Below are 13935 nucleotides of genomic sequence, written 5' to 3' on the forward strand. Positions count from 1 at the left end.
TCGGGCTCACAGACATCCCAGTGACAGCAGGTTCAATCACCTGAATCAGTATGAGAATATTTGCATACATTAATCTCTTTTCAAAAAGTCATTTTTAGGTAGTTTCTTTGGTGTCTATGTCATCCCTGTTCTTAAAAATATACTAATATTCAGTGCGTCTATTTATTAGTTGAAGTTTGAACATGCTGCTTCTCATTCCTTCTACTCTTAGAGGGAGTCAATAAAATAGATGACTGGCTTTATCTTTAGAGTAGACAAAGGTGTGTGTGTGTGTGTATATAAAAGTGGGGGACTGCAAGTCTATTGTCCTATTTTAGATACATGTTTCAATTTAAAATAATCTAAAACAACACATTCCAATACAAAAAAAGTCTAAAGCCAGAATGTATTATGTATGTTATATATGAGGGGTTTGATTTCAAAGATGGCTACAAAAGGCTTTCTCACACATTACACACCTGAAAGCTATGCTTACTTTTAGATTTTTTTCATCAGTTTAAATTTTCTTCAGCATATAGCCTCCCACTCCCCACCTCTACTAATTGCTATATACTGTAAAATAGTTGTCTGTTTCACGGATTGGAAACCCTGCGTGGAGACAGAGCTTGCCAACGACCCTTAGGAATAGATCTAATATTGGAAGTTCACACTGTCTTCTAGCCTAACTTGAATGTGCACACAACTCACCTGGGTATTTTGCTAAGATGAAGATTCTGATTCAGTAGGTCTGGAGGGAAGTGTGAGATTCTGCACTTCTAAAAAGCTCCCAGGTGATGCCAATGTTGTAGGTCCACAGACTACACTTTAAGTAGCACGTGTAGTCTTTTTAAGACCAAAGTCAAAGACCATACAGTTTCTTGTTTAGGCTTGATATAGCCTAATCTGGATGCTCTGTAATCGTGTGTTTTCCCAGTCATCAGATAAATATAGCGACCCAGTTGCAAGCGTTGCTAATACCATGTAAATACCACTTAATTAAGCAGAGAAAGCCTGTTTTTCCTTATCTTCTGATTCCTATGATGATGAAATTTTCTAAATAATTCTAGCCTCTTGTGCCACCCTTTGCTACTTAATGATTAACAGCAGTTGGTCCACTTTTCTCAATCAAGAGGAGACAATCAAAAGCACTGAGGAAGAGAAAATGAGAGAGAGAGAGAGAGAGAGAGAGCAAGCGAGCGAGAAGGCAGAGAGGAGAGAGAAGAGAAGGTTGTAGGGATGGTCTTTTTAATTCCCGCACTTCAGTGTGAAGCATCTGGGGTAAGTGTGCGTGTTCTCCAGACTCAAACCCTCCCTTTGGCGCGCAGTTCTGATGCTTACTGGGCACCTTGGGTGGAGGACAAGAACTTATCAGGCACGTTTACCTTTATCAGTAATAACAGTGATAAGTTGATTTCCCATCTACCTTATGCTTTAGTCTTACTTGTCAACTGATTCAGAGCTTAGGGTAGGGGGAAGAGGGGTGTTATCCACTGAATCCTTTCAAATCCCCAACGCCACCTAGACAACCAGCTAAGACAGTAATGGCATGTTTGAAAAGGTCATAAATTCAGACTCTGCCTCTTCCCTAACACATCCCAGGGCTACTTTCCAGCTTCATCTCATCCTTTGAGCAATGCTGTCCTATCCAAAACTCAGCCTAGAGCCCAGACCTTAATCTGATTCTTTCACTAGGTCTCTTGGAGGTTCCTCATCTGTACACTCCTACTCCTAAACGCAGAAAACAGAAACATATCATTTATCCCCCTGTTCCCCTTTGATACGCCTTGGATTGGGCAAAATCTAATTTTACTTTATCCATTATCTCTGCCAGGAGGCATGATCTTCAAATCCCACTGTTCCCATTTTACCTTCTCTGTGGCTATCTTCCCATTCAGAAAGAAACCAGAACTTAAAGCCCTAGTTAAATCTTAATAAAGCTTCCAAATTCCTCTGCCTTTGTTTCTTACCTTCTCCTGGATCCCTTCATCATCACCAGCAAAATACAAAATAGGGACATTGAGCTCAGAGGCAGCTACCCATTGAAGGACGGCTTGGAGTTGCTTGTTCTGAACTGTGTCCGTTAGGTTGTGATTGCTGACAATCACCGTGGGTGCTGCACACCCTTCAGGGGGCTGTCCTGATGTGCCTCTCATTTCATTATGGATAGCTTGATAGGCATTCTGCAGGACAGCTTCTGCTGACCCTGTGCCCTTGGCTGGTAAGCACTCATATAAACTATCTGGGAAGGCCGAAGTTAGCCTACTGGCATCTCCAGACTTGTCATCTCCCAGCTCTGCCAACGAAGCATCACAGGACTTAGCAATGATGACACACAGCTTCATCACTGAGTTCATCAGATGTTCTACCATCTGCCCACTCATGTGGCCATCTATCTGGCTGACAGCCATCTTGGTCAGCCCAGAAAGGGCACCAGGGGTCTCATCATCCTCATATAGCCTGGGGGGAGAAGACGCCAACGGTCTTTCACACAACTTCCTATCTTCCTTAACTGGCTGTTCCGGCACCTTGGGTTCAGGGCTCTGGTCACGCTTGAAAATGGTCTCACTAAGTAAGTTCCGGATGAAATTAAAGAAAACACTCCTTAGGTCCTTCTTTTCTGCTTGTTCTTGGTCACCTACAATGGGAGCAGACTTAAGGCAAGATTCATCGGGAGCTACAGGAGGTTCATTGGCAGGAAAGTTGGTGGTGCCAGCAGCTTCAACGAAGCTCCGTGCATCCCTTCTTCCTCCCTGGGCCAGGTGATATTGAATCAGAAGCAGGGCAGACACGATCAGGTCCTCGGCCCAGGAGTCTGAATCATACATAAAATTCTCAGGTTTCTCTGGAGGATATGGAGGAAGGCTGAGGTTGCCAATATCTTCAGGGTACTCAAAGGAAATGTCTGATGCAGGCTTACGCTGTGTGTTGGGAGCTTCAAATGCTGCATGCTGGAAACCTAGAGATTTACATTCTTTCTGCTGAGTTTTATGCCACAAGGTAAGCCCCTCTTTGATAATGTGCTCACCCAGAGTTTTCGCACAAGTCTCCTCCTCTGATTTGGGTTCAGAATACATTTTTTCTCTCAATTTAGTTTCAGATTTCATGGCAAAGTTCACATTTCGGTTTTTAGGATCACCCATTCCTTTCATGGAGATGAGGGAATAACTCTCAGCCTTGTCTTGGGCTTTCCTGACATGCTCAGGGACTTTCTTGGCAAACATTACATTGTACAGCTTCCTTAGCATGGCATCCATGATATCTGTGGCCTTTTGGCTTCCATGAGAGAAGACAGTTCTTTTCACAGCCGAGACAAACTGTGTGTCAGTCATGAGGGTCCCTGTGACGCTGTGGAGATTCCTCAAGAAGGAGTCGATGAGATCCGAGACCACCTCTTTTGCATGCTTGAGCAGAACCTTCTTCAGTAGGATGGTGGCAATGGTTGTGTCTTTCACTTGGATCTTCAGTGTCTTCATGATGGAGACCATCATATCAGATACCACACTGTTAGCATAGGTCATGATCCCTTCACTAACAGAAGCCGTAAAGTCATCAGGCCTTTCCTGCCCTCGAAACCTCTTTCTCTCCCGAGGAAAGAACCTTCCACCCTCTCTGGCATAATCTCCATTACGAGATTCAAACACTTCCTTATAGAAGAAAGACTTCTTAGAAGGAGGCTTGTCATCTGGACCCTGTCTTTCTTTGGTGCTCTCCTTGATCTTCAAAGTGGACTTGTATTTCAAATTTGGGGGACTTTGTGATGATCCCGAGACTCTGTCTCCAGAGCCAGGAGCCTTGTCTGGGGCAGCATTCCTGGAACATGCAGAGACGGTCTCATTCACAAGCTCTGATGCTATCTTACTGAGGCTTTTGGTGGGTGTGGGTTCATTCCCCATGTACAATGACTGATAGACACATTTGTTTTCAGAGCCATCGATCTTCTCATTGATCTCTTTGCGGGCCATGGCTATGACTAGATTCGTGAGGCGGTTAGCATAGAAGGAAACTTCATCTACTGAACTCCCGTTGCCAAGTTGGGCCCTGGGGCCCTGGCAAGGAATCTCTTTGTGAGTCATCTCAAAATGCAATCTTTCTGGAGTGCCCTTGGTGGTGGTGTTGTAATAGTCTACAGAGAAACCTTTGTGTGGGTCTCCTGAGTTGGACGTTTCCCCACCAAATGATTCTCCGGGTTTGAACCGAACATCTTGGAACTCTGCTGTACTCTTCTCCAGGTCTCTGCGGAGCCAGCTGAGCACTCTGACAGGATCCGTGGAGGTGTCCTTAAAAATAGACAAGGATTCATCTGACTATAACAAAGTAAAGATATGGGATATTCAAGACAACCTCAAAGTTCAGTTACAAATGTCATCAGCCCTCTCAAGCTTGCTCCATCTTGGCAATAAAAGTAACCATTTATTAAGTACTCACTGTGTATCAGACATTGTTCCAAGTATTTAAAGTCTATTATCTCATTTAATTATTTCTCATACTAAACCTGAGATTTAGCTCTCTTATTATCTTCTTTTTACAGAGGAGGAAATTGAAGAAGTGAGAGGTTAAGTCTGTAACTTACTTGAAATAATACAGCTAACCATTGATGGAGCAGAAATTCCAGCCCTGGCAGTCTGACTCCACAGCCCATGCTCTCAGCTAGTATACTATGTTGCTTCTAATGACATATATCTTTAAGATTGGATAGTCTGCCAAGGATAATGACTTCCAGCTCCATCCATGTCCCTGTAAAGGACGTGATATCATTCTTTTTTTATGGCTGCATAGTATTCCATGGTGTATACATACCACATTTTCCTTACCCAGTTGATCATTGATGGGCATTTATGTTGATTCATGAACAGAAAACCAAATACCACATGTTCATACTTATAAGTGGGAGCTAAATGATGAGAACACATGGACACATAGAGGGGAACAACACACACTGGGGCCTTTTGGAGAGTGGAGGTAGGGAGGAGGGAGAGGACAAGGAAAAATAACTAATGGGTACTAGGCTTAATACCTGGGTGATTAAATAATCTGTACAACTACTCCCATGACACACGTTTACCTATGTAACAAACCTGCACATGTACCCCTGAACTTAAAATAAAAGTTAAAAAACAGATCTGACAGTCATCAGCTAGATAGAAGAGTTAGCAGTTGAACTGAATCAGATTTTTTCTTGTTTTAATATTAATTGCTATTTTCTATGGTTTACCTGTTTTTATTTCGATCTTATTACAAGTATAGTTTCCAAAAAAATGAGAAAATTCAGGGAAAATTGTGGATAATTAATCACTTTGCCAGGCTGCACAAACACTATCTGGATATGTTAAATGGCTTCCAATGGACTGACATCATTTAACAATCCGATTTATAATTCAGGAGTTAATATGTATTGGCAATTTATTAGATTCTTTGATGGACGCTAGCTGTGATAAGCATATGAACATGTTTATATGTTTGTAAATTGTACAATCTGCATGTGGGAAAAACTCTGAAACACAGGATAAAATAACATAATATATATGAAAGTCTCCTATTTATTATCAAATGTAAAGAATCACTGTAATTATTGGAGTTCATATGTCTATCTGGGAATGACCACAGATATTACCCACCTTTAAAGAACAATTCGGTATTTTTATTACCAAGTGTCATATAGTTACTAGTTACTATTTGTGAAGTACTCGTAATGTTTGCCAGGCTCTGTGCTAAATGCTTTATAGGCACTATTTTGTTTAATCCTCATATTCGCCTAGTAAGATAGGTTTTACTCTTCCAGTTTCACAGGTAAGAAAACAGAGACTTAGAGAAGTTAAATAGTTTGCCAGGCATCTCACAGCTAGTCCATGGTGGAGTTTCGTATTCAGATGCAATTCTGATTCTAAAATCTGGGCGCTCCACGTCTACAATATCCTGCTGTGCTTTGATTACTTGGAAAGAAAAGAAAAGAAAAGAAAAGCAGTTGTGCTAGTTGTCTGCAGGACTGGTTTAAGTGGCTTGTTATCATGTCGGAGTTAAGATCCATTGTGCTTGGTTCAAAATTCTCCCAAATGGTTCTCCTAATTAGAATAATAGCTACTTTATGGGATATTTTGTGCTTTAGTGGAAAATCACACATCATCTATAGCATACCCTTCCACATTATCTGATTCTCATTCCCTTGGAGCTATTTTACAACTCTGTTAACTATAGACAACTGACATCAATGCAATATAATTCTTGTCTAGACACCTATAAGGGGAGGGTCGACTGACTGCCTCTTCCACTGTAGAGAAGGTCAGTTTGCCTCCAATGGCACGTTCACTTCAATATTTCCAAGCTATATGTGTCTTTTGAACCTCACCAGTTCCTTGTTAATGAGTTAAATAAAATCTTTAACAGATATTCATTTTTATATATGTATGGGAGTCATTATTTTGCCCTTCTTTGAAAATTATCTTTTAATGGTTTTGGAAGTCTTCCACCAAGATGCCCAATAGATCCATCTAATGGAGATAAATGTCCTCATGAAACAGGTGCACTAGGTGTGTCTTTTCTCAGCCTCCAGAGTAGCAATAGAAGTTTGCAGACATTCGGTTTTTCTAGTTTTAATTTTCCTCTCTACTAATTTTGTTTTTGGTTCTCACTTCGGTTTGTTTATGGCCAATTGGTGGCAGCAATGATTGGAAATTTGATTTTATGTCTGACCATTTGGTAATCTCTTTTATGGATTAATGATTTATAGAGTTATATTCTCTGCTGGGTGTGAGGCAACAGAAAATCTGTTCTGACAGCATTTTTTGTCCATCTTAAGCTCACCAACTAAGACGTTTGTGCTCACATGGAAGGAGAAGTGCTCCTTGATGTCCGGACAGGTGAGTTTTATGTTTATGGTTTATTTTTGCCACAAAGTGGGGCTGAAAGTTTAGAATTGAAGCTATAAACTGTCTCTATCAGTGTCTGTATCACTATGTGTCTGTAATTCAAAAAATGTTAGATGTAAGCAGCAATGTCTTCCCCCAGAGAGTATTAATGTGTTATACTATGAAGTCTCTTAAAGGAAGTTTATTCTGATTGGTGCATGCTCACACACACACACGCACACAAACACACACGTAAATTACATATTCTTGTATCCCCAGAAAATAAGGAAATCAAGCTCCTAATACTTAAAATACTCAAAGGGAATGCTAAGAAAACAAAGTATTTTTACAGAACCTAACTCAGAAACATTTTAGAAACCCAAATTCACATAAATTAGGTAAATCTTTGGCAAATAATACTAGTTTAATAATTTTGGTTTAATAAAAACAGCTATACCTTTTCTTATTTATCAGTGTTAGATATTATACAATTGTATGCTTTTATTTTACTTTGATATGCTTTTCATAAACTCATACAGGTTTACAGATCCAAAAAAGCCACATTACTTCTATTTAATGTTTAAGATTATGAAAAATGTAAATTTGCATTTAACCAAGTTGAATAATCATTCTGACAAACTTTATTTCAACAGTTATTATGTTTTATAGTATGTCAGCCTAATGATAAGTTTCCAACATCTTTATATAACTGAAAACACTGGAGTGGTATTACATTGAGTTAATGCATATTCACTGGATATGTAAATCATTTCTAAGTAAGATGGAACACTGAGACATTGATGGCTAAGCGTAAAGTATATATGCTTTTGCTTATTATTTTTATCACTTATAAAGAGGCTACCTCTTTAAATCTGTTAATGAGTCTGTTCATCTTCTCCACTTAGAGAGGTGGTATAAGGGGTGTATGTGACTGTAGGAAGTCGTCGTCATGTGTAGTCGTGAGTTCTACTCATCTGCGTTTCAGCTGGTGTGTGATGTTCCCAATTATATACCCCTCACCCTAGTTTTTTTGTGATATAGAAAGAGTGTATATTCTTTCATAATCATAACTGTTAACTTTGGGTTAGCAGTTATGATTAATATTAATGGTTGAGACTATAATTAGGAACAAGAGTTTCAGAGAAGTCTAAGTGTATACCTGCTTGTTTTCCTAGGGACTGCAGGTGAAACCTGGTGGAGAGTGTTTCTTAGGCTTGACTTCCTAATCTCAGGACAGTAAATAACAGAGGGCTTTTTGTTTGTTTGTTTTTGTTTTTGTTTTTGTTTTGATACAGAGTCTTGCTCTGTCACCCAGGCTGGAGTGCAGTCGTGCGATCTCAGCTCACTGCAAGCTCTGCCTCCCGAGTTCATGACATTCTCCAGCCTCAGCCTCCCGAGTAGCTGGGACTACAGGTGCCCGCCATCACGCCCGGCTAATTTTTTATATTTTTAGTAGAGATGGGGTTTCACCATGTTAGCCAGGATGGTCTCGATCTCCTGACCTCGTGATCCGCCTGCCTCGGCCTCCCAAAGTGCTGGGATTACAGGCGTGAGCCACCATGCCCGGCCCCCTTTGCCCACTTTTTAATGGGGTTTTTGAAAATGATAATATATTACTACCTAGTTATTTACGAATAAGCACATTAACTTGCAAATAGGTGTGTTTCCATACTATTGAGCTGTAACAGTACAGGAAAGCCTTACTATAGTGCAGCTGTGGAGTTTATTCTTTTACCCTTTTCAATTAAAAAAAAAAAAAACAAAAAACCCAAACCTGTTGGGTGCAGTTGCCTGCAGTCCCATCACTTTGGGAGGCTGAGGAGGGCAGATCTCACTTGAGCTCAGGAGTTTGAGACCAGCCTGGGCAACATGGCGAAAATCCATCTCTACAAAAAATATATTTTAAAAGATAAATAAAATTTAAAAAAATAAAAATAAAAAACCAAACCTACAGCGTAGAATAGAGATTTACAATGGAGTCCACAGAATTGTGTTAAGTTGCTGTGTTTATGGGTTTTTAATGTCTATATATTTTTAAACCTAAAACGTGTGTGCCTTATGTCTATTACTCCCCTCTATCCACAGGGATTTTGCAAAAGGGGTTAATCCAACTGTAGTGACTGAAAGACTAAGTACCCACATTCATTTCTTATCAATGCAGTCTATAACCAAACATCCATCTCTTCAAACCCCCTTGCCCTCTTGCAACCTTCCTCTTCTTACACAACTATAGTATTCTGAGCAATTAGGGAAGGAAGATGCCAAATTATCTCAGTATTTCTGAATCCTGGGGCAAGTTTTCATGTCCATGAAGGAGAATATAAGAAGAGGTCATGGGTTTTATTTTCTCTGCTCAGCATCTTTTGCTTCAGTAGTTTTAAGTCAGCTATCTACCTTCCTGTTCTATTTCTCTTCTCCACCTTTGTCTCAATTAAACATACCTTATAAAATTTTCTCTGACCACCTCCCATTTTGAAATGATCAATTCTTTAAACACCTATAGCAATTATTGTCTAGAAAATACATTTGACAAATAATCATGAACTGTTTTTCATTAGTCCAACAGTTATTCAGAGATTTCAAGTGACATATCTATATTCTTTTTTTTTTTTTTTTGCTTTTTATACCACTTTATTCAAACCTGAGCACCTCAATATAAAACTAAACACTGGTGACCCATTTTTCTAATTCTGAATTATTGTAGATGTACAAGTTCTCCTAACAGTCCAACACTTAAACAGATTAAATCATCTCTGACACACATATGGTAGCTCTCATATAAGGAAAATACCTAAAATAGTGCAATATACCGAATTGATCAAAATAAAATGAAGGTTGGAAAACAAGGCTACAAGATTGTTACTAACATATTGCAATACTTTATGTTGCAAATTACGGGTACATTGCTCGTTATGGTTCTAGCCATGGAGGAACAACTGAAGCCCCTTCCTGTCAAAAGGGGAGAGAGAAATCATTGGCTGTTTTAGTAACTGTACATTTTGTATACTTTTAAGCAACTCTTAAATATTACAGAAAAGTAATACATATATGGAGACTATAATGCAGTACCCTATTGACAGTACAGCTGAAGATCGAATTTAAAATAATCAAGTTTAAATATACACAATTGCTAGTGCATTGACTACATTGTGTCACAAGCGAACAAAAGTCCCCTCCCTGCACCAAACAACAAAACCTATGTAATGGCCAGCAGTGATTAATTAGATATCACAGACACCTGGTTTATTTCATTTTTGTTAAAGAACTCACATGTTTGAAAGGAACACTATCTATTAAGATGCATTTATTAGTTCTCAAATTCCTAAAACAAGATGGGATTGCATTTGATTTTTTTTTTTACCCCATTAAAAAAAAACACACACACACAGGACTGGCTATAATTTAGATGCCATTAACGCTCTTTCCAGCCCCCACCTTTTATATGTGGGATTATTTTCTTGTGGTTCATTTATTAAAATATGGAATGTTCATTTAAAATACTGATACCAGGAGAAATGAACATTTGCCTGAATACTATGGCTAAGCATAAATAACTTTAGAATCTCCTTCTACAAAAAGAATGTTTTTTGAAAAGCCCAAATTAGTAAATTCTATTTTTTTTTCCACAGGTGACTACTGCACCAGTGTGGAGAAATGGGCTGGTTAACTGTGTGGGTCCAGATAGTCATTTGTCTATATTGCTAGCGATGAGAAATTATTCCCCCTAACCTTCCAATGAAACAAGTATACACACAGTTCTCATTTTTCCCTATTGCTGAAACATTAGTAAGAGGGACCCATGCATGTTATTAAAAATTAAGTTCAAAACACTTAAAATAATTCTGCATTAGAAACTTGACTCTATCATAAGTCTCTTTTGGAAGTCATACTGGGCTGGTTAAATGGTCCAATTCCATTGTTATTAACATTTAAGAAGCAGAAGACTATTCTAGCTAGTGCAAACTGGAGGTTGAGTTACTACAACACTGACTCCTGTTTGGTTGTGTGGGTTCAGTAAGGGCTACTCCTCTTTTTCTGGCAGAATTTGCTTCTGGATTTTGTGGTTCATTCTTTGGCAATTTTTTAGCTATTGCCACGAACATTTCATTTACATTCACTGATGTTTAGCTGATGTCTTCATGAATAATAAACTATTGTCATCTGCATAGGACTGTGCTTCCTGGAAATCTACTGCTCTTTTATTTGCTAGGTCAGCCTTGTTTCCTGATAAAGCTATTACAATATCAGGACATGCTTGCCTCTGAAGTTCTTTAACCCAATTTTTTGCTCTTGCAAAGGACTCCTCATTTGTGGTATCATATACAGCTATGGCTGCTTGTGCTCCTCTGTAGTACATTGGTGCTAGGCTACGGTATCATTCTTGACCAGCTGTATCCTGTATTTCAAACTATACTGTAGTGTCATCAAGACACACATTTTGGGTTAGAAAATCAGCTGAATCTGTAAAACCACTTTAATTTATCCAAAACGTCTATTTTCTGGCTAAGAACCACCACTCTTAGATCTCTCCATTTTTTCTTCACTTCCATCACCAACACTAGCAGTTGGTTTTCTTTTTGGGCCCATATTTCACAAAGAAACAGCTTTTATCACTTTGAGAGTTACCCCAATGGTACTCTCTTGAAATTCATGAAATGGGCCTTTCACAAAACGAAGCACTAGGCTTGATTTGCCAACAGCAGACTCTCCCAGAAATACTGGCATATTGAACTGGCATATTTTATTTCCAGTATTTGAGCCATAGGGTCTTGCTTGCGCCTCGATTAGCCATGTTCACATTTGAAATAAGTCCCTAATTTCAGACTCTTCAATGAACTTCCAGAATTCAAGCGGTCAATTTTCTTCTTTCTGGAGGTAAAGAAACCTCAGACGCGGCAAGCGGAGCTGTGGGCTGAAGCCCCAGGCATGGCCCGTAGGACGAGAGTGTGTCTATGGCGGTGGTGGTGGCCGTGGCATCTGCTCTTTGGGCTGCTACCCTCACCGACATTTCTACTTTGATATGTGTACTTTTTATTTTCCAAAATGAATGATAAGGTTCAGAGGGGCAGTAACTGTTATATACCTTTTTGTTTCTCACTTAGTAAAAAATCACTAAGTTCATTTGATTTAACATTGAAACTGATCTGCCTTTTGTTTCTCCAAATGAAAGGGCAGAAGTAAATCAAAGATCTAGTTGAAGCAGTTTTGGTTGGCCCTTACTCTATAGTAATTGAATATTTATTATCTTTATGTCTAATGTCTTATGTAGATTTGTTAATATTTTCTTTTTAAAACTTTATATAGATCGACCAGATTTGGACAAATAGAAGAAGATGGGTCATTTGCATTTGATTACATGCAAATAAATGTTTGATAAATGTTAACTTTTTTTTTATTTTGAGACAAGGTCTCACTGTTGCCCAGGCTGGAGCTCAGTGGCATGGTCACAGCTCACTACGACCTCAAACTCCTGGGCTCAAGTGATTCTCCTGCCTCAGCCTCTCAAGTTGCTGTGACTACAGACGTGTGCAACCACTCTGGCTAATTCTTTTTTTAGTAAAGACAGAGTTTTGCCGTGTTGCCTGGGCTGGTCTCCAACTCCTGGGCTCAAGCAATCCTCCCACCTTGGCCTCCCAAGGTGTTAGGATTACAGGTGTGAGCCACTGTGCCCAGTCTGATAAATGATGTAATAGGATAGAGTCTATTAATAATAGTGATTCCATTAGATTATGAGATCCTTAAAAGGAGAGAATTCTAATTTATTTTTATATCTCTGACCCTGACAGTCAGGACAGTGTCTGTGCCAGTTATTGACTTACTGTCTCTCACTCCAAATCCACCCTTCTTTGCCTTGCTTTGTGATACCAGAGCTAAACCCTAAACATTTCTCCTTTGCGGTTGGCATTGTCGACAGAGGGTACTGGGGGACACTGCATGGTCAGAGCAGGAGGAAAGGGCTTCCCTCTGGCAAGTTTCCTATGGCAGCCACATTCTCTCCAAAGAGATGGGAAGCAGCTTTGGTTGAGGGAGAGCGAGCTCTTGTGAGTATTTACTTAGTTTCTTCCTTGTTTATGTAATTCTCAGCCTGGGGGTAGTAGCTGCTTTCTGCATTTGTTATTTCTGGGATTCCTAGAGTCCTCTTTTATGCCTTTTAGTAGTTAACTACGTTTTATTAATAAATAATTTTTAAATGTTAAGTTACTGGTACGGTTTCTATCTTCTGACTAGACCCTGACGATACATTGCCTGATATTAAGTAAGCATTTAATACATGTTTGTTGAATGATGAAGGCAGGATGACAATGTTACTTAGATGAGAGTTTATAGTTCTGAGAATTTTAAGGCATCCTACACTTTAGAAAATATTTTCTATAAGCCTTGGAGACATTTATCTCCAATTCCTCTCTGTTTGAAAATTAAAATTTTATAGCTGTAATATACAGCTGACATATACATATATATTTATATATACATACATGATATATGTTATACAGCTTATATGTACATACATATTTCATTAGTTATAGCATATTAAATACCATAGGATGGGAATTTTTTCCAGAAAACTATAAATGGGAATGTTTTGTTCTATAAGGGCTGATTTCCCACCTGCCTCAAGAATCCCACCTTGAAAAATAAGAGGTTGGTGGTATGGTGGAGAGAATAAGGCTACTCTTAATGACAGCCCCCATATTCTTAACCTAGTGTTTATCAAGAGGTTGACCCTTACCATTTTCCAGTCCTGGGCTTGGTTGTCTCCAGGAGAATAGACATCAACTTTGCATACTCCATTTTGGCTTTGTAACCAGTCAACCTTTTCTGACATCTGGAAGCAGGGGAAAAAAATGAGAAAGGGTCATCACAAGGGCAGATTTTATGAAAGTAAGAAGAAATGTGGTAAAGGGCTAAAGCACGGGAAAGATGAACAATGCCTTCAATAGAGACCTTCCCCAACAGCCACTTCAGAACCACTCCACCCTGAATAGCTTCATCCTCAGCTCTCAATGGAAGGAATATTTCTTAAACATATTTGTAACTCTAAGGAAGAAGCTGGTGCCTGGTATCTGCGACAGGTGCTTAACACATCTTTGTTAAATGAATGAACCTAGGCAGC

At 39.2% G+C, this 13935-nt stretch overlaps 1 protein-coding gene and 1 pseudogene across 2 annotated transcripts in view, besides 5 other annotated features; both read right to left on the bottom strand.

Annotated features, from left to right (window-relative positions):
• Window positions 1–13935, bottom strand: part of AKAP3 (A-kinase anchoring protein 3) — a 33534-nt gene that overhangs the window by 9032 nt on the left and 10567 nt on the right. For both annotated transcript variants that reach the window (NM_006422.4, NM_001278309.2), the window contains exons 4-5: window positions 13552–13647; window positions 1947–4256 (exon numbers count right to left, since the gene is read on the bottom strand). In NM_006422.4, the coding sequence (NP_006413.4) occupies window positions 1947–4256; window positions 13552–13647 (2406 nt within the window). The remainder of the gene's footprint in view (window positions 1–1946; window positions 4257–13551; window positions 13648–13935) is intronic.
• Window positions 3308–4507: an enhancer, noted in NCBI's record as "CDK7 strongly-dependent group 2 enhancer chr12:4737023-4738222 (GRCh37/hg19 assembly coordinates)". NCBI's record gives its function as "activates an origin of replication core promoter dependent on BRD2, BRD4, P300/CBP, MED14 and CDK7 cofactors, with strong dependence on CDK7, by STARR-seq in HCT116 cells {active_cell/tissue: HCT116}" and the evidence as "EXISTENCE:reporter gene assay evidence [ECO:0000049][PMID:35650434]".
• Window positions 3504–4336: a transcriptional cis regulatory region, noted in NCBI's record as "H3 fragment used in the reporter construct". NCBI's record gives its function as "negatively affects activity of a beta-globin enhancer-driven SV40 promoter in transfected K562 erythroleukemia cells {active_cell/tissue: K562}" and the evidence as "EXISTENCE:reporter gene assay evidence [ECO:0000049][PMID:30886051]".
• Window positions 5507–6370: an enhancer, noted in NCBI's record as "OCT4-NANOG hESC enhancer chr12:4739222-4740085 (GRCh37/hg19 assembly coordinates)". NCBI's record gives its function as "activates a minimal SCP1, AML or CMV promoter by ChIP-STARR-seq in primed H9 embryonic stem cells {active_cell/tissue: H9 hESC(primed)}" and the evidence as "EXISTENCE:reporter gene assay evidence [ECO:0000049][PMID:30033119]".
• Window positions 8429–8929: an enhancer, noted in NCBI's record as "H3K27ac hESC enhancer chr12:4742144-4742644 (GRCh37/hg19 assembly coordinates)". NCBI's record gives its function as "activates a minimal SCP1, AML or CMV promoter by ChIP-STARR-seq in naive H9 embryonic stem cells {active_cell/tissue: H9 hESC(naive)}" and the evidence as "EXISTENCE:reporter gene assay evidence [ECO:0000049][PMID:30033119]".
• Window positions 8930–9430: an enhancer, noted in NCBI's record as "H3K27ac hESC enhancer chr12:4742645-4743145 (GRCh37/hg19 assembly coordinates)". NCBI's record gives its function as "activates a minimal SCP1, AML or CMV promoter by ChIP-STARR-seq in naive H9 embryonic stem cells {active_cell/tissue: H9 hESC(naive)}" and the evidence as "EXISTENCE:reporter gene assay evidence [ECO:0000049][PMID:30033119]".
• Window positions 10598–11811, bottom strand: LOC100420673 (RAB5A, member RAS oncogene family pseudogene; annotated as a pseudogene).

The sequence above is a fragment of the Homo sapiens genome, chromosome 12 (assembly GCF_000001405.40).
Source record: "Homo sapiens chromosome 12, GRCh38.p14 Primary Assembly".
Classification (NCBI taxonomy): domain Eukaryota; kingdom Metazoa; phylum Chordata; class Mammalia; order Primates; family Hominidae; genus Homo; species Homo sapiens.